Source organism: Homo sapiens, chromosome 12 (genome assembly GCF_000001405.40).
Source record: "Homo sapiens chromosome 12, GRCh38.p14 Primary Assembly".
Taxonomy (NCBI): domain Eukaryota; kingdom Metazoa; phylum Chordata; class Mammalia; order Primates; family Hominidae; genus Homo; species Homo sapiens.
In genome coordinates, this window is record NC_000012.12 from 30,624,151 (window position 1) to 30,645,138 (window position 20,988).

At 36.8% G+C, this 20,988-nt stretch overlaps 1 protein-coding gene across 4 annotated transcripts in view; it reads right to left on the reverse strand.

Annotated features, from left to right (window-relative positions):
- Positions 1 to 4,837: 4,837 nt before the first annotated feature.
- Positions 4,838 to 20,988, reverse strand: part of IPO8 (importin 8) — a 66,882-nt gene continuing 50,731 nt past the window's right edge. For all 4 annotated transcript variants that reach the window (NM_006390.4, XM_017018691.3, XM_017018692.2 and 1 more), the window contains 5 exons: positions 15,365 to 15,585; positions 12,832 to 13,037; positions 9,933 to 10,136; positions 7,745 to 7,861; positions 4,838 to 6,807 (listed from right to left, as the gene is read on the reverse strand). In NM_006390.4, coding sequence (NP_006381.2) covers positions 6,710 to 6,807; positions 7,745 to 7,861; positions 9,933 to 10,136; positions 12,832 to 13,037; positions 15,365 to 15,585 — 846 coding nt within the window. In that variant the 3' untranslated portion in view covers positions 4,838 to 6,709. The remainder of the gene's footprint in view (positions 6,808 to 7,744; positions 7,862 to 9,932; positions 10,137 to 12,831; positions 13,038 to 15,364; positions 15,586 to 20,988) is intronic.

The following is a 20,988-nucleotide window of genomic DNA, read 5'->3' on the forward strand; positions in this document are numbered from 1 at the left end:
AGCAGCCAATCACAGGACAACCACTGGTGAGGATTAACACAGTGTGGTGGGATCATGAAACAGCAGAAAGGGAAGTAGCACCACCTGGCAGTGGTGGCTAGTTAAGATTATTCCCTATTTATTAAACCTATGTTGAAAGAAGAGGCTAAAAGCCTAACAAGTGGAGTTATACTGAAAAAGTAAACGATCTGCTTATTTATTTCTGCCTTCAGAGAATCACTTGACTATACTGCCCAGCCACAACCCCATTAATGGTACTTGTGGTACCAAATGTAAAGAGTCTAAAACTTCACTCATTGGAAATATGGTGCCTCACAGCAAAGGTTTCAAATGCAACCCATTTAACTACCAAAATGAAAATTGGTCTTATTCCCCCGAAGTACACAACACCCTCATGAAGAAATAAACACTTCTTGCTGGTACCTATTGATGTTAAATTTCTTGTTTTATTTGAAAATGCTACCAATCCTGACACCACCCAGCTGAGGGTTGTCTGACAGCAGCAGCTGCAAGGAGCTAAAAATTATGAAATTAAATTTGTAGTTTTGATTACTGCGATTGGCCAACACTGGGTTATCTGGTTTGGAAATCTGTGTGTAATACATACATACAACAAATTCTTTATTTTGAAAAAAGTACATAATTTGTATTAATAAAAAAATCAGCTTCTTGCTAAATAGCAACACAAAAGCATATGAAAGTATAAATCTCACTGCTAAGGGTAAATACATAGACAAATACAGAATAATGTAATATTGTAATGGTGGTGCATAAATCACTTTTAACCCCAGCATAAAAGACAAAAGTATTAAGAATATAACCACAAAATATTGGTTAATGGATACACAACATAAAAAGCAAATTCTGACATCAATAACAAACTGGGGAATGGGAGAGTAAAAGTGTAGTTTTTGTATGTGATTGAAGTTATCAGCTCAAAATAGACTGGTACAATTCTAAGGAGGGTTATGCAAGCTTCACAGTAACTACAAAGAAAAAATCTTCAGCAGATACAAGAAAGGGAAAAGAATCCGAGTATATAACCATAAAAAATTATCAAATCACAAAGACAGCAAGAGGGGAAGAGAGGAACAAAAGAACCACAAAACAGAAACCAATGAACAAAATGGCAGTAGTCAGTTCTTACCAATCAATAATTTCTTTAAATGTAAATGTATTAAATTCCCCAATCAAAGATACAGAGTAGCTGAATGGATTAAAAAGCAAGATCTAATTATAGGGTGTCTACAAAAGACTCACTTTAGCTTTAAGGACACACGTAGGCTGAAAGTGAAGGGATGAAACAAGATATATCATGCAAATGGTCACCAAAACAGAGCGTAAGCAGCTTTTCTTATATTAGACAAAAAGACTTCAAGTCAAAAACTGTCACAAGAGACAAAGAAGGTCATTACATAATGATAAAAGGGTCAATTCAACAGGAAGACGTAACAATTATATATGCACCCAACATCAGAGCGCCTATATATATAAAGCACACATTGATAAATATGAAGGGAGAAATAGGAGTAGAATGTATTAGGAGACTTCAATACCCCACTTTCAATAATAGTTCATCCAGACATTAGAGAAATAAAGAAACAGTGGTTTTGAATAACACTATAGGCCAAATGGAGCTAACAGACATGTACGGAACCTTCTACCTAACGGCAGCAGAATAAAAATTCCTCTCAACTGCACATGAAAGATTCTCCAAGATAGATTACATGCAAGGTCACAAAACAAGTTCTGACAAATTTAAGAAGACTGAAATAATTTCAATTATCTTTTTTGACTACAAAGAAATGAAACTAGAAATCAATAAAAGAAAACTGGAAAAATTCACAAATACATGGAAACTAAACAATATATTCAACCATTGGGTCAAAGAAGAAATTTTAAAAATTAGAAGATATTGTGAGACAAACAAAAACATAACATGCCAAAACTTATGGGAGGCGGCAAAAGCAGTGCTGAAATGGAAGTGTATAAATGTCTACATTAAAAAAGTGTATAAATGTCTACATTAAAAAAGATCTCAAACAACCTAACATCATACCTGAAGGAACTAGAAAAAGAAATAAGCCCAAAACTAGCAGAAAGAAGGAAATAATAAAGACTAGAGCAGAAATAAATGAAGACCAGAAAACAAAAGAAAAATCGACAAACTGAAAAGTTTTTTAAAAAAGATAATCAAAATCAACAAACCCTTAACTAAACTAGGAAAAAATAAGATAAAATCAGAAATAGGAGATATAACCAATGCCAAAGAAATTTTTAAAAGGAACTAATATGAACAATTACATGTTAACACATTGGACAACCTAGAAGAAATGAGTAAATTCCTAGAAACATACAAGCTACCAAGATTGAATCAAGAAGAAATAGAAAGCCTGAACAGATCAATAACAAATAAGGAGACTGAATCAGTAATTTAAAACTTTCAATCAAAGAAAAGCCCAGGGACCAATTGGAAGAAGAAACCACTGAATTGGAGGCAGTGAAAAAAGGCAACTGGAGCGTACTTTCCAAGAAGTTGCACACAGTGAGATAGCTGAGGAAGGGCCAAATTACTTAGGGTGGCCAGGTGGCCTCACACTTCCAATTCCAGCTCTTTGTGAGGCCAGGGTGGAAAGATAGTTCAAGGCCAGGAGTTCGAGACAAGCCTGGGCAACATATTGAGTCCCTGTCTCTACAAAAAATTTAAAAAATAGCCAAGCATGGTGGTGCTTGCCTGTACTCCCAGCTACTCAGGAAGCTAATGTAGAATCACTCACTTGACCCCATGAAATCAAGCTGCAGTGAATTGTGATCGCACCATTGCATTCCAGCCTGGGCAACAAAGTGAGACAGCCATAGTTGCCCTTTGTGCTTCTTCCTCAAACATAGTCTATCTACAGAGTATAAGCCATCTCTTTATTTATTGATTTTGCAGCCTTTCTTGCTAGCAGACTGCCTAGAAATTTCCCAATCCACCCAGGCAGCATTTGTACAGCAGTCTCAACGGAGAGAGTAAGGTGGAACAGAAAAGACTGCTATTTAAGGCTCATCTGGAATAATTTTTAATGCACGAAACATTCATGCATACACACACTTGCACGCACATGGTCCTAATACATGGCCAAGTTTCCCTTTTATGCCTGGATTATTCAGTCTCCCTTGCTAAACAGAAAACTGTACTATAATTCATTATATTACTTAATGACAATTTAAAATAACTGTTTTCCTATCGCAAGAACAAAAAACCAAACACCGCATATTCTCACTCATAGCTGGGAATTGAACAATGAGATCACATGGACACAGGAAGGGGAATATCACACTCTGGACTGTGGTGGGGTGGGGGGAGGGGGGAGGGATAGCATTGGGAGATATACCTAATGCTAGATGACGAGTTAGTGAGTGCAGCGCACCAGCATGGCACATGTATACATATGTAACTAACCTGCACAATGTGCACATGTACCCTAAAACTTAAAGTATAATAAAAAAAATAAATAACTGTTTTCTTAGGAATCTTCACTGATTAACAATGTAATGGGTCTTACCATCATGCAAGTACAAGTATGTGCCCCATGACCTTTCAGTCAATAATGGACTACATAAATGACAGTATGCACATAAGAGAATGGAGCTGGAGAATTCCTATCACCTAGTACTTACTATACTTGTTATTTTAGTGCATACTCCTACTTATTAAAAAAGTTAACTGTGAAACAGCCTCAGGTAGGTCCTTCAGTAGGTGTTCCAGAAAGAGGCATTGCTACATAGGAGATGACAGCTCCATACATGTTACTGCCCCTTAAGACCTTCCAGGGGGACAAGATGTGGAGGTGGAAGACAGGGATATTGGTGATCCTGACTCTATGTAGGCCTATGCTAATGTGTGTCTTAGTCGCTAATAAAGTTTAAAAAGTAAACAAATTTTAAAAATAGAAAAAAGCTTATAGAATAAAGATATTTAAAAGGAAAATGTTTTTGTACAGCTGTACAATGTGATTTAAGCTAAGTGTTATTACAAAAGAGCTAAAAAGTTAAAAGTTCACAAGTTACAGTAAGCTAAGATTATTGAAGAAAATTGTTTTATAAATTTAGTGTAGCCTAAGTATACAGTTTTATAAAGTCTACAGTCGTGTGCAGCTGCAGCAATGTCCTAAACATTCATGTTCACTCACCACTCACTCGCTCAAAGCAGCTTTCAGTCCTGCAAGCTCCATTCATGCATTTTTAACTTTTATACCACATTTCTAGTGTACCTTTTGTGTTTAGATACATAATTACTTACCATTGTGTTACAATTGCCTATAGTATTCAGTATAGTACAGTAACATGCTGTACAGGTTTGTAGTCAAGGAGCAATAGGCTATCCCACGTAGCCTAGGTGCGTAGTAAGCTACACCATCTAGGTTTGTGTAAGCAGACTCTAGGATGCTCACACAATAACAAAATGCCCATGAAGCATTTCTAAGAACATATCCATTACCGTATTACCAGTCCAGTTTTGACCAGTAATAATTTGATAGTAGACCCATCAGAAAATTGCACCATTTTAGTGACATCTTCCTTTCCTTCGAGGTCCTGCTGTGGTTGAACGCCCTGTGCCTTTCCAGAGCTCCAACACTCTTCTGTGCGGACCTCCTGGTTCATGAGATGGGCTTTCACTTCCTACTTCTCCCCATGTATTAGCTGTTCCTGATAAGCCCTGGTCACCCTCCCAGACCTACAGTCCACCTTGCTTCAGGTCACCAGGTGTCAGGAAAACATACTGATGGGTTATTATCAACTGCTTAAAGCACCTCCACATTTCAGAAAACATTTCACACACAAAAGTTCAGAATCCTGGGAATCAGTCCGCATTTTATTTTATAGTACATTCATATAAGTTCCTGCATTTCCAAGGTAACCAGGTCACATTCAGGTTAGCACTGCTGGTAACAAAATCATACAACTACCCTGGCTTCAAAAACAAGATAGGGTAATGCACATTAATATCTCTTTCCCTTTAATACTGCAGAAGACAATACATCACAAAATAAAATCTCAAAAATCACATGCCTTTTACAATCCAGTGTGAAGGCATATTATTTATGTTAAAATTAGACCATGTGGAACATGAGAATAAAGAGTTTGAAAGCTCTCTAAAATTTCTCCCAATGCCATCTTTCGCTTCTAACTGCCAGTTGGCACATTCAGCTTCAATGCCTTGGGAAGGGAGGAGCAGAGGAAAGCAGGGGGTCACTGAACTCCAAAACTCATGGTTTTCCAGGCTACTTCTATAGACATCACTTAACCTAAAATTCTAAAGAGTTAATATGCATGAGGGATGGTAATATAGGAAGCACCTGAAAAAAATTCCTCCAGTCACTGATGGGAAATTTAAGCTGTGAATTTTTGTGAATTTTCAATTCCACAGAAAGCAAAATCTGTATCACATCCAGTAATATGTTAAGTTCTGAAGATACGTTTTCATTTTGCTGAATAAAAACCCTATGACCCATGTTCTGGTCTTGAACTAGGTCAGAAAAACACTGTAATCTCCATATGCAATATTTCCTATAGGCAACCTAAAAGTGCAGCTGCCCCAACCCTTGAAAAGTTTGAGAAGTCAAACTGAGCTATAATAAAGACACAAACAAATTAGGTAGGAGAAAATTCAAATAGGTGAGAAAGCAAGAAGTTAGATTTGTTTGGGTCTTTTTCCTAGATTAAAAAAAAATATTATAAAATGCTTTGGACCCTAGTCCAACATAGCTGGAATGATAAGTTATTTAAAATACAAGTCCCCATCCAGAAAGACAGTGTGCTTACGTAGCACCTGTCTCTTAGAAGTTCAATGTGCTTTAGGTATGATTATCAATTAATTGCATAATTACATTATTCAGAATATACTCAGACTTACTGTTAACTCCAGTGACTAAAGAGCCCCTGCCACTTGCTGCCAAGAAAATGAGTCCTGAACTTACAAGGTTAGGAGTGAAACTGATATGTGTATTTGTTGACCCCAAAAGAAATACCACCCCTTTTCAAGGCAGAAAAAAATGAGAGAAGAGGGAGTAAGACACTTCTTTAAAAAGCCACAAAACATCTTATGAAAAACCACAGCCAGTGCATATTTTATAATACAACCCCTGAAAAAAGCCCCCCAGCAGCAGGGTGAGCAGAGGGAGCCGTGAAGATTTTGAAACCAGAGTGACTTGCAGTAACTGCCTAACAATAAATTCACAGAGTAAAATGCAGAATAGTTGACATATAACCAAGGTTTATGTTGTATCTAGAAATATGTTTTATGCTTTAAAAAAAATTGCAATGCACTCCAAAAATTTTTTTCTGATAATTCATGTACAACAGAAGGCACTGTTATCCGCATAAATCCATTGATTCTGCATGGCAAAAACCTGAGACGTGCAAGTCTATCCAATCCTCTAAAACAACCTTGGGCATTCAGCCTTTGGAACATATGGGTTGTCCTTTTCCGTCCAATGATTGTTTTTCTTTCATTTCATACTTACAGTAGCTGTTTAAAATATATATTTCAGGGTGACAAAGGTCAAAGGGGAAAGAGTAGATAAAAGTGCTGCCTAATGCCAGATGGTAACTGGCACAGCAGGAGGGCCCTAAAAGCAGCCCCTCATTTCATCCCCTTGACCCTCACACTCCTCTTGTGAAATAAAATGCAGCGATGACATTTGGTCAGCTGATGTTCTTTCCTTCAGTTGTTGCTGGGCACAGTCCCAAAATTAAATGCGGAGAGGACTCCTTTGTTTTCAAAGGTGAAGCCTCCCTGTTGTTCAATCTTCTTCTTTGCCTCTAGCATTTTTCAAAAGAAAAGGGGAGAAGAAAAAAAAAGAATGCTTAAGGTGACAAAGTTGGAGATGACTCAAAGGAGCCAGATTCTTTATATGCTTAGAACTGTGAAAGAATGTGACTGGTAGTATTAGTTATCCTGCCAAAGAATAACTAAGAATAACAGACCTATGTCAATAAGGTGGTATGTTCACTACCATCGGAAAATCTGCAAAAAACGAGTGAAAAGAAAACACGTCTCAGAGGTGGATTCTACTTCACTGTCTCTACTGCTGAAAGGGGGCCCAGACTTCTCATATCAGGAAGGCTGACTGAGAATCTGCACAGAACTGAAAATCTAAGTCCATGCAGAAGAGCCAGCATTCTAAACTCTAGATGTCTAGTTTGCCATGTTTCCTACTAAAATTTTTTTGTAACTACAAAATCTTTTCCAATGACAATCTACAAGTAACTACAATAATCAACACAGAGTAATTCCTCCAGCTTAAAAACTGAAAATCAACAACAAGAAACAATGTCAAATAAAGCCCAACAATGAGAAATAGAGAGCATTCCATTTCCAGGAATACAAGCTCCTTGCAAGAATTCGTCAAGTCCCTTTGGCCCACGGTTGAAATGTTTAGGGGAGTGATCCAACTGATTAAGTCTCCCTCGGCAAGACTTATCCCAACCCTTACTTTGTACCTTTGCCTCCAACATAGGATAAGAATGTGAATGAGAACACCACTAGGAAATACATATTAATGTGCAGGTTTTTGCAAAGCTAAGACATCATGAGTGATTAAAACAATCATACAATAATGACAATTCCTTATTATCTTAAAGGGTAAGTCTCTAACAATTTCAAAAACAGTGTTTAGGTGCCACCTGGCTCATCAAATAAGGCTGTCTGTTGGCACTCTGACACATGCACTCCACTCTGGAGGTTACTCTGGCTGACCTGCCACCGTCCGTCGGTGCTCTGCCAGTGTGTACACCTCCTGCAGTGCTGTCCTCTGATCCTCGCTGAGTGGTGCCATCAGCAGCTGGTACCAGGCTGCATCTCGACTCTGCACAGCTGTTGCATTTTGGGAGGAAAAGACAGGAGGGTACAGCGACTATTAATTTACAGAACAAGTAGTAACATGATCAAATTACAAAGAAATTATCCCAGACAGTAAGAGACAAAGAGTACAGTACTACAACACACACAAGGTAATGAAACTTACGCCAACAAAGGATTATTTCTGAGTACCCACTTAGTACCCAGCTATGTGGGAAATCAAAGGAAGGTTAGGACATTGCAAATCTCTAGTCTGCCTAGTTCTCTGTCTCCTTTGCTGTCTTCTATGGATGTTCTCTAAAATCCAGAACACCAGTACTCACTTGTTACCATTTTCCTCTGGAATTTTCATACTACCTGCAGCTTTAGTATTGCTACCACCCCAAGGATTCAAATCTGTACCTCTAGGAAAAACCTTCCCCTAAGCCTCCTGGACTGTTCCATTTGAATAGCTCATCTCAAACTCAACACAACTAAAACCAAATTTAACAATTTCCTCCCAAACCTTCTATCTCTCCATTTATCTCACCAGTTCTATTAGTCTCCCAGTCCACTACTGTGCATCCTTAACATCCCTGAGCATGCCCTCTCCACACCCAAAGCTCTGCTTCTTTCTTAATGTCTTTCATCTGTATGCTGCTTTCCATCAAATGTCACCCTCCCCATTCCAGGTCTCTATACATCTAAATTAATAAAGTGAACCTCTAACACTTGGCTCCCACATCTAGTCCTTTCCAGTTTTTTCTGCACATCATCCATCACCGGGTAACTCCCCTGAAGTGAATTACCACATCTAAAAGGTCACCGCCTCAGAACACAACTTTCAACGCTATTCCAATGGGCAATGGGATGGACCACCTCAGTCCAGAATTCAAGGCCACTATAGCCCAGCCCAACTGCGTTCCTTCACAGTCTTTAAGCAGTGGCCCCTACATGCTGGTTTAAAGTTGCTTGTCACTTGAGAAGCATCTTTAAAAATACATCTCCTGAGATCCTACTCAAGACCTAAAAGCCTCCTTGGTGATTATGACACACCCATGTCTGGAACTACACTAGGCCACATCCTCCATATTTCCATCTCCACGTTTATGCTGTTACGTTTCCCATGCTTTGGAATATAGTTTCCTGTGTTCTCTGCCTCCAATTCCTCTGAATTTCAATAAGAACATCTAGGTAGTTTTTTCTTCATTAATGTTATTTGTAGCAACACTAAAAAATGCCAATATATTAAGCTAATATTGCCTTATTAGTAAAAACATTTACATGTAAGGATGTTCATTTTAATAACCCTCATAATGGTAAAAACATTGGAAACAATCTTAAATGTCCCACAGTGGAACTAAATTACAATGTAACTATGGAAATACTATCTAACCATAAAACAAATAATCTATATTAATGAGATTTAAAATAATTTATTTGATTAATAATTTTCTAAATATCCTCATTGGCTTGTTTTTATTCTGTAAATTTTCCATTTCCATTTTCTACTAGGTTACTGGTCTTATGTATCTGAGGATGGCCTCTGTACACTGTGTACATTATGCCTATTATGCATATGTGGCAAATATTTTCTCCCCCCGAATCATTTATGAGTCCTGTAACTGTAATTATACTGTTCTTTGTTGTATAAAATTGGCAAATTACTTACAAAGTAAAAAGTCACCCTCTTACGGCAGCAATTTCATTCTAGGGATTGTGAATAACTAGTAGGTTGTTAGCCACAATTTTTAAGCAATGTATGCCTGAAACACTTCATTCTTTGCTATAAAAATGCTTGCCCATTTATGCCTAAAGGATGAACAATATACACAGATACTCCACATATTACTTTTGCAAGGATAACATACAGGCTCACCCTGCTACTTCTCAATGATGAAAGCTGCTAGGATTGGGTGATAGGTGTTTCATTATTTTAATTTCTATCATTTCATGTATGTATGTTTGGGGATTTCTATCATAAGGAATAAACAAAAAAATTTTTAAAAGAACCTAGACCAATCTTGGGCAAATATCAAAACAGGAAGAAATGAAGAAAGAGTTTAGAAAAAAAAATATCAGAAGATGTGGGGAAGTAAAGACATACTTATCAGAGCTTGTGTAAAAAACTGATATTCATCCACACTATTGTCAAGGTCAAGTGGAGTACTGAACCCCTCAAGCGCGGTTTCTTCCAATACTTCTTCATCCCAGTCATCATCTTCCTCCTCCTCATCTTCACCTCTTCCATTATTTGACTGCATTGCTTGAGCAGTTACATTTGTCTCCTCTTCATCACTTGAAATCTCCTCTGTGAACCCATTAATTATTTAAAAGGAATCAAAACACATAAGGACAAAATATAAAACTTCACGACAAAAACCAAAGACTATAAAACTACACTCTGGAAAGGAAAAAATCTTCCACAAAATTTTAATAAAAATAAATCTTATCCCTGGTCTAAAGAGGAGAGTCAAAAAATAAAAATAAAAAATAAAATAAATAAACCTTATCTTTACTGTAGAGTTTGCTAAGTTGAGAATGTCCTTATCCTCCTCACTGAAAACAAGTTCCCTAAACCTGTTATCCAGATGAACATTACTACTGTTAGGCTATGCAAGTTCATTAATACAAGAATATTATTCAATTGCAGATTTCAAAATTACCTTTGTTTAAAAAAAAAGTGACTGTACGGTCAGTGCATGTGTTTTAAACAATGACTTCCTATTGAGAATTCAGTCCTCTTAATTAACTGAGTTGATTATAAAGTGCTTAGAAATGCCCAAATGAGATCATTTCTGCTAGTAGAAACAGTAAAAATACAGATCCAGCCATCCCACTTCAGGATATATATCTAAAATATTTTAAATCAATACGTAGAACAGATGTCAGCAGCCCTGTGTTCATCGCAGCATTATTCACAATAGCCAAGTTACAGAATCAACCTAAGTGTCCATCAACAACGGATGAATAAAGAAAATGTGGATTCTTTAAAATGAAACACTATTCAGCTTTTAAAAAGGTAATTCTGTCAATTCCAACAACACTGATGAACTTGGACATTATGATAAGTGAAATAAGCCAGGCACAGAAAGACACATACTGCCTGTTCTCACTTATACATAGAATCTAAAACAATCAAACTCATAGAAGTAGAGAATAGAATGGTGGTTACCAGAGGCTAGAGGTGGTGGGAATATGGGAATGTTGGTAAAAGGGTACAAAGTCTCAGGAAGAATTAGGTTTTTGTTTTGTTTTGTTTTGTTTTGGTATCTATTGTACAGCATGGTGAATACAGTTAATAGTATATGTACATTTCAAAATTGGCAAGATTGTAAATTTCAAATGTTCCCACCATTAAAAAGGGTATTTAAGGTGATGGATATATTAGTTTGATTTAATCATTCCGCATTATATTCACAAATCATAACATCACTTTGTACTCCATAAATATATAATTTGCTAATTTATAATAAAAAGAAATAGCAAAAATGTAAAGAAAAATAGCTACATGTCGCTTGAAAAGTTAAAAACTTGAACTACATTATGTATCACCATGGATTCTGTATCTATTTTCAGTGTCAATCTGTTCCTAGCAGTTAGATTGTAACTGAAATACTGGAACAGGAAGGCAGTAAATGCAGAACAAAAATCAAGATAAGAGAGAAATCCTGGAGTAAACCCAAACCAGGTAATATTAACCTAAAACTAGTTCTATTAGACACACCATATTGAAGCAGGTAGATTGAACTAGGTAGTTTTAGGAATAAGGCACTTAACCAGAGTTTGGACCAAATACACGAAAAAATGCATGGCAAATTATAACTATTAATACAAAAAGACTGAGAAATACCTCCACTAGTTAATCATTCCATACTTTAGTAGGAAGTACAAGAAAGTGTGGGATATTACCAGAAAATTTTCCCTCAAGCCATACAGTATAAGCCAATAAAGAGTTGCCAAAACAAGAAATTAGAGATCATAACATACTGGAAAAAATAAAAGAATTCTACAACTGTTGACACACAGTTAGCTAAAAACAAAACAAAACAAAACAAAAATCACACATGCAACACTTCTAATAAAGAAGCATTTCTTCAAAAGACCTACACAGATTTCAGAAAAACAAATTAGAAGCTGTATTTTGTGCTGTGGAGGGGAGAAAAAGGGTAGTTTATAATCTCTGGTATATGAACAAACTGGGATGATGCCAGTTAAAAGTGTTTTAAATCTATCCATGCTAAAATCACAGAATTTAGCATCAAAAATAGAGCTGTATGTTTACCAGGAAGAGTTCTGATTTTTCTCAGCTAACAAAGTATCTGTTTTTAACCAGGAGAGGAAAAAATCCACCTGGAATAGGAGAATGCTACTTCCTAGTCTCTAGCAAGTAGCTCCGCAATCTCATCATTAAACAAAACAAAGGTCTAATATTCAACTCTAACAATCTTATTCTGATTCTCAAGTATATCCACTTCATTTATGTACTTTACCTTAATTTATATTTAAATCACAAATATGGACGTCTCTCAAATGTAATTTTTGCTAATGAGTCACCTAAGAACCATTCCAGAAAAAGAAAAAAAAGACACTCTCTACTAATCTGTGGTACTAACACTTCAGCTCTTAATGTAATGATTCATTTAACTCATGGCTACTGCCTTGATGAGGCTGTTAGCACAAACAAGAAAGTTAGATACTAGATTGCTAACTTACAGTCAAGACCATTTGATTGTTATAAATGTGTTTCCTAATGTGTAACAGCATCTATTAGGCTCCATAAAAAAAACCGCTGAGTATATTAGGTGTCAGAAGGTGCATAAATCTAAATTTATATAGCATGATACAATTAATAGCAAGTCAACCAAGCCCAAAATATTTGTTATATGTGTAGCAGGCCGAAGAATGTAAATCTGTTTAATGTCTCCATATAGACTAGTATTCATATAAAATGCATACACAAATCAAAATCAATTGTAACATTAATTTCAATTAGAAGACTTTACCATTTTCTTCCATATCAGCTTTCTCTGCTTTTGAACGATCTTCCCGGTTTACCAGTTGTCTAGTAGCACAGACCTGCTTTAGGCCAAGGAAAAGGAAAAGAATTGAGGGAACAATCTGTCCCACCACAGCATCTACTGCAGGAGGTCGATTTTGCAATTCCAAAAGGATACTCAGTCCTATTATACACATCTTCCGGTCATGATGCCTGCAAATTTTGAAGAAAAAAAAAATGTAGACATGAGAAGTGGAATAAAGAACAAATTCTGGAGAAACTACAAAAAGAAATGTCCAAGGCATACTCTAAGGTTCATCTGTTGGTATCATACAGAGACATTCCCTGTTTTGTACTGTATGAAATGCTATGTAAATCAAATTTTGTAAACCAATTATTTTCAAAGACCTATTGGGAGTCTGCAATTAACATGGTGAATCTTGCTGTAATATCAATTTATGATTAATATAAATGTTATATATGGGCCTCGGCATAAGGAGTTTTAATAAAGCAGAAATACCTATATTTGACAGCATAAAAGTCCTATACAATGGTTGGGGGGAATGAAGAGTTTCTTAGACTCTTCCAACATTAGATTGATCTACAAGGTTTCTCAGCACACATAATCTACCCAAACCCTAAGAGGTGAAAGATGTTTCAAAAACTCAGCATCTAGTAAGATAGTAAGCTGAACTTAATTTAAGCAGTCTACTAAACTCCTGTGCTATAAAATAGCATAAGAAAAATATAAGGACAAGGAAAATTTTATTCAGAAAGAAAAAAAGTTTGACCAGTAAACATTAGACATTTTTCTACTAAATGCTTCCTCTAAGTTGCTTAAAACTAAAAAATTAAGAACTAAAAGATTACATTGGCAAAACATTCTTAAAATTGTGTGAATAAAAAATTCACTTGCAGCGATTCAATGTGTTTAAAGTGCGAATAATATAACAAATCCAATAATGAATATTCTACAGGCTTCTGTTATTCTTCATTATTTGCATTCCTTGATTGATTCAAGTCACTAATGCCCAACTAGTACGCTATAACAGAACTGTACTTGACCTGAGGACCTTCTCATCCATGCAACCCCTAAATACATGCCACACGGATCACAGCAGAAAAGAGGATTATCAAGCAGAGCTCGAAAGAATCCAAGGAAGCACAACCCAAGGACTCCCAGTCTACACAATAGCAGGGAGACTGCTTCCAGTGCTAATAAACACATAAGAGAACCAACCGCTTAACTTTAAATTACCAAATCTCTACTCCCTAAATCTTTCTCAGAGATAACTTTAACAACAATTTCTTTGATAGTATGTTCTTCCCTTCAAGGTTTTAATAACAAATCTCAATCAGGGATTAATTCCAGTGTCCTGCAAGTAGAAAAATTAGAACACGCATAGCAGCTTGTAAATATGTTCCCCCATTCCTAACGCCCCACCCTAATCCAGGCCTCCATCTTCTCCTGCCTGTGGCAGCAGTGTCTTAACCACTGTGGGGAGTCTGTTCCTCTCAGGAAATTTTTCTAAATGATCTCTCACAAAACTTAAGAAGAATACTATTAATTTCCAGTTAGATATTAGATAGTGTTTTAAAACAAATTAGACAGCTAGCTCAATTTCTAGCATAACACAATCACTAATCTGTGTTGGGTGACCTGAGGTGGGCACATAACACTAGTTGGAATCTCACTCTTCCTATTTTTTTGAGATGGAGTCTCACTCTGTCGCCCAGGCTGGAGTGCAGTGGCACGATCTCAGCTCACTGCAAGCTCCGCCTCCCAGGTTCATGCCATTCTCCTGCCTCAGCCTCCCGAGTAGCTGGGACTACAGGTGCCCACCACCACGCCCTGCTAGCTTTTTTGTGTGCTTTTTTAGTAGAGATGGGGTTTCACCGTGTTAGCCAGAATGGTCTCGATCTCCTGACCTCGTGATCCACCCGCCTCGGCCTCCCAAAGTGCTGGGATTACAGATGGGAGCCACCGCGCCCGGCCTCACTCTTCCTATTTTTGAAAACTAGGAAGAGTGCTTCACATAAAACCAAATTCTCCTACTGGGGCAGCACCTGGGCTACAAATAACAAGCCTTCTGACTCCACTTTTGAGAACAGGCATCCCTGAGATCTGCAAAGAGTTAAACATTCTGTGACATTACATTTTATCTTTGCCAGAGGGGTACCATCCTTAGAAATCCAACTCCATTTAGAATGTTTTTACCCACTGACACTTAATCATGGAACCCAGACAGACAACTAATTCTTGTTGCCTAGAGATACAATGATACACTTGTGTTTAAAAAAAATAAATAAAAAAAATAAAAGCGGGAAAGGGCTACATCAAATTTTCAGAGGCTGCATTCTTTCCACTAGATTACCCTGCTGAAATGCATTCTTAATCCTCTAAAAATTAAATATTAACAATACACTAAAAATAATTCCTAAGACATGAAAATTATCTTTGTACATGCTATTATACACAAATATTAAAAAGCAAACTTTCCAGAAACAGAAAAGCAGTGTAAAATCCAAAAGACACATACCCAAGAAAACAATCTGTATCATTCATCCATTGATTTATAAACTGTACAGTGATAGGTCCAGGGTTGTGAGGCAACTGAATTCGTTCTAAAGTATGTAGCAGCAAATCAGGGTTGTAGTACAAGGCAGCAATTGCAACCTGAAGACACATAGTACGAAGCTCACTAGTTTTGACCCCTCGAGTTAATCTCTCCAAAACAAGTTGAACGAAGAGTGGAATGCACTAGAAGACAAGCAAAAGAAAGTCAACCACACAGACAGCCCAAGTAACTTTTATAGAAGCTGAATATTGGCAGAGCATTCTCAATAAATAAGACAGTCTTAATGGCAATGAGACTTTTGACTAAATCATTTTAGAGGTATTTAAAAGATTTATATTATTATAACAACCTAGAGAGACTAAATAGACAAAAACAAGTCCTATAGCAGTGCCAGAAAATCTCCTTCCTTCTTAAGTAAATTAAAGTCAGCTGAAGATTGTCCTGTAAGAGTCCACGCTCAAACAGTGTCAATAATCCCTATGTGGACACAGCCACTTGCACATCTAAGGTGAAATCACTGCATGTCATTTTCTTTGACAAATTAAATTGGAAATAAATAAATGGGACTGAAAATAATTATGATGTAATCAGATTGTTTTTGAGAAAGAAAATTCCTGTTAATATAAGATGAAAAAGGCTAAAGAAAAAATGGTGGAGCCTGAACATTAAAATAAAATCTGACTCCAATTCTAAGGTGCAATATTGATGAACTAATTTTACTAGAACTATTTCCCAATAGTTATTTTCAGTTAAAGGGGATGAGCTGAAATGATTTCTATAAAATAAAATCTGAGGTCTTACTATAAGCCCCTTTTTAAATTAAACTTTTAAAAAAATCAAGGTTTTGTGTAGAAAGTTGAGTTATATTTATTATTTTCTTTTTAGTAGGCCAAATTGGATATATATTTGGGTCAGCAGACTATTAGTCTGGTTTAGGATAACATATTAAATCAAAATACATGACTACACATACTTTTAAGACCATAAAGCTCTCTACAAAGATGAGATAACTAGTTTAACTCTACGTCTACTTATGCTGATACAACATATTCTGTGTTCTAATTTGAGATAACACATATAAGCTATGTTAAAAATTATTACCATGGTCAAATAATTAGTTGTGGATAAACGCAGCCACAAGAAAATATAAATTAAGTTTGAAAAGCTCTTTTTGAGATGTTTTAAAACTAAAGTTTCAAAATTACAGCTAGATGGGAGAAATAAGTTCTGGTGTTCTATAGCACTATGGGATGACTATAGTTAACAGTAATACATAGTTTCAAATAGCTAGGAGGAGGACATTGAATGTTCTCAACACAAAGAAGCCATAAATGTTTGAGACAATGGATATGCTAATTACCCTGATCAGATCACTACACATTGTATCAAAACATCACTATGTATTCTATAAACATACAATTATGTCAGCTTAAATAAATAGAAAATAAAGTTTCATTTTAACAAGTATTTACTATTACACACAAAGCCATAAGAACATAAAGGAATTGTGAAGTTTTAGAACTAGTAAAACTAAAAGAATTCCATTATATTAAAACAAAATCGATTATGGAAGCTGGTTGGACTACTACGTAAATGCACAATTAGAGCACTGTGCAGCTGCAGAAGGAATGCAGAATATCTCCACATGCTACTATCAGGTGATCTGCAGGATATGTTACTTAGCGTAGAAGGCAACAGAGAAAATGTATAGTATGCTACCGTTTACCTAAGAAGGCAAGGAGAGAATATCTATTTTTTGTTTTTGTTTTGTTTTTTAATGAAAGGATGAACTAAAACTAGGGGAAGAAATGGAGAAGAAGAAGAAGGGTAGAGGGATAGGGTGGAAGCTGGACTTCTCTGAATATACCTTGTCTTATAAATTAGACCTTAGAACTGTGTCTATGGTTCCCATATCCGTTACCAAAAAATTAAGCTATTTCTTTTTTTTTTTTTTTTTTCTTTTTTGGAGACAGAGTCTTGCTCTGTCACCCAGGCTAGAGTGCAAATTAAGCTATTTCTAAAAATTAAGATAAATTGAAGTAAGTGAATCAACCAAATGAGGATTATTTTAATAACTTTAAAATTTAATTATTTGACTGTATTTTCACTGTATATTGCTAGTGGATGAACATATCTTAGAGATAAAAAGAGCTACTAAAAAAAACAAACAGTAGTAACCATTTCTTGGTAATAATGTTGGTATAATTAGTCTGAGACTAAATGTATCCATTAATGGGATAAAGCAAGCAAGTAATTAAGATGAGAACCAGAATTTTTGGTGTGGGAGATATAGAACAGAATCGAGTAGGTTAAGGATAAAGAATGTAGTCATGAATCTGAATTAGAAATACCTGTGTGTGGCCAGGCACAGTGGTTCACGCCTGTAATCCCAGTACTTTGGGAGGCTGAGACAGGAGGATCACCCAAGGTCAGGAGTTTGAGACCTGCCTGGCCAACATGGTGAAACCCCCATCTCTACTAAAAATACAAAAATTAGCCGGGCGTGGTGGCAGTTGCCTGTAATCCCAGCTACTCGGGAGGCTGAGGCAGGAGAATCACTTGAACCCAGGAGATGGAGGTTGCAGTGAGCCGAGATCAAGCCATTTGCACTCCACTCCAGCCTGGGGTACAAGAGCGAGACTTCATCTCAAAAAAACAGAAAAAAAAATCTGTGCATATTAGAGTATTAGAGACATAAAGATGGAAATAATAGGTACGGGGACTCCAAAAGAGGTAAAGGAGAGAATGGGGCAAGGGTTGAAAAATGATCTGTTGGGTACCGTGTTCACTATCTGGACAACAGGTTCAATAGAAACCCAAACCTCAGCATCACACAATATATCCATGTAACAAACCTGCACATGTATCCCCCAAATCTAAAATTAAAAAAAGAATTATCTGTGTACATTAATGTTTTATTGACTAAAAAAAGCCAAACAACATATTTCTTGGCTCTATTTTGTAGAAACAATGACCAATCCAATATCAATGAATATATATATATAGCGACATATTAGTTATATACATTAATATGCATTAGTATATATGTAGCTAATTATCAATTTATTAATACGATATATAAATAGTACATATTATATATATACACACATATATACTATACATATATATGTTTTAGATATATATGTATAGCAATGAATATCCCCTGTGCCCAGCTTGTAGTCTTGAATACCATTTCCCAGGCTAGGACGAGACATCTATAAGATAAGCCTGGAATATCTAGTCGTACCAAGACAGCAAGGAAACTACCAAAGACTATTAGAATCAGGTTAAAAGGGCTCATAAGACAAATTCAAGAGGCTCCCATGGGACAAAAATGAAACTATGTATACTTAAAATACACTGAAACACATAGAGTAAATTTGGATCTATACATTCATAAGGATACTAAAAATTTTTAAAACCAAACAACATAATAAAACATTTTGCTGATCATCTTTGGAGAATGCTAGGTAAGAAACTTATCTTGAATAATGGTAAATAAAGGGAAATACTCAAGCTGTTTCTCAAAGTAGCCTGATAATTTATGAGAAAACATTTCTCTTTACAGGAATATTTCACCTAATAAAGAAGAAATGACAGAATTAGAAGATCACCATCAGCAACACTAACATCATGAGAGACCACCAGACATACTGTGCCTCCTAGTAAAATTACACACCATCACCCATGAAGTGCATGAGCCAAGATCATGCCATTTGCACTCTAGCCTGGTGAGTCAAACCTGAATCCAAGACAACACTAAATGTAATCACTAATTTACAGGAAATTTAGAGGAATGGAATGCCAATCAATACAGTCCTTCAGCTGTACTTGAGTGCATTGTAATGGTAACCTCACTAACAGTAGAGATCACCTTGTGTCCTTAACTTTCTGATACACAAATTCTTGAATACTACTATGGTCTCGATATGGTTTGTCCTCCTGAAACTCATGTTGAAATTTGATCCCCAGTGTGGCAGGTTTTGGGAGGTGGGGCCTAGTGGGAAGTGTTTGAGTCATGGTAGTGGTCGACCCCTTATGAATGCCTTGGGGCCATTCTCCTGTTGTGATGTAATGAGCGACTTCTCACTATCATTCTGGCACAACTGAATTACTTTTTGTGGGAATGAACTAGTTCCCATGAGAGTAGGTTGTTATAAAGCAAGGACACCCCTGGGTTTTGCCCCTTCGCATACATCCACTTCCCCTTTGACCTTCCACCACGTTGTGGTACAGCACAGGCCATAGCTTGCCAGCTTCTGGCGTACAGAATGGATTCTAAAGTCTTTGGCATGGATTTATTCTATAGTCTTCTGAACCTCTCCCCAACCTATGTTTCCATTATTAAAGCCTACAGCTCAGAACCCTCCAAAATCCAGTCAACAGAACTAAATACTTCTTTAGCCCCACTCATGTCTTGTGCTTTACTACCTTCTTATTTTGTTAACATCATAATTTATTTTCACCTCCACTATGTCACCTAAAAAGTACATAATAACAAAGGGAGAAAAGAGCCTTCAAAGATACCTGTTGGGGACAGGTGGTAGTTCACACCTGTAATCCCAGAACTTTGGGAAGCTGAGGCAGGAGGATCACTTGAAGCCAGGAGTTAGAGAGCGGCCAAAACCACATAGTGAGACCTCATCTTTACAAAAAATTTGAAAATGAGCTGGGCATGGTGGCATATGCCTGTAGTCAGTCCCAGCTACTCAGGAGGTAAGATGGGAGGATCACCTGGGCCCAGGAATTTGAGGTTACCATGAGATACGACTGCACCATTGCACTCCAGCCTAGGCAAAAGAGAGATCCAATCTCCATTAAAAAAAAAAAGGTTTTTAAATAAATATCAGTAAAACTTTATGATTTTTTAGAAAGGTCATAATTTTTTTGTCACTAATACCCCAATAAAGCTTGGGGGTAGGCAGAAGTCATTCTCAAAAATAATGAAGATTTTGGTGGTAAGTAAAGCTCCATTGAGAGCAAAAAGATGGGCCAGCAGTTCACCAGAGATGGCCAAGGAAGGAGACAGGCAAAGCAAGCTCCCTCAGGTCCAAACAAACCTCAAAGATGTACTTTGCTTTTTGGTGTTTTTTTTTTTTGTTTTTTTTTTTTTTTGGAGACAGAGGAATTTTGCTCATCACCCAGGCTGGAGTGCAATGGCGCAATCTTGGCTCACTGCAACCTCCGCCTCTGGGTTCAAGTGATTCTCCTGACTCAGCCTCCCAAGTAGCTGGGATTACAGGCGCATGCCATCATGCCCAGGTGATTTTTGTATTTTTAGTAGAGACAGGGTTTCACCATGTTGGCCAGGCTGGTTTCAAACTCCTAACCTCAGGTGATCCACCCGCCTCAGCCTCCCAAAGTGCTGGGATTACAGGCGTAAGCCACTGCGCCCCGCCACAAAGATGAACTTTGAAAATGGCAAATCGGCCATCATAATGCTTAAAGAATAAAATAAACTACTGTTAAAGAAAGCTATGAGACAATATCTCAAAGATAAAATTACAGTAAAGATACAGGCATTGTAAAAGAGAACCAGGCCAGGTGCGGTGGCTCACGCCTGTAATCCCAGCACTTTGGGGGGC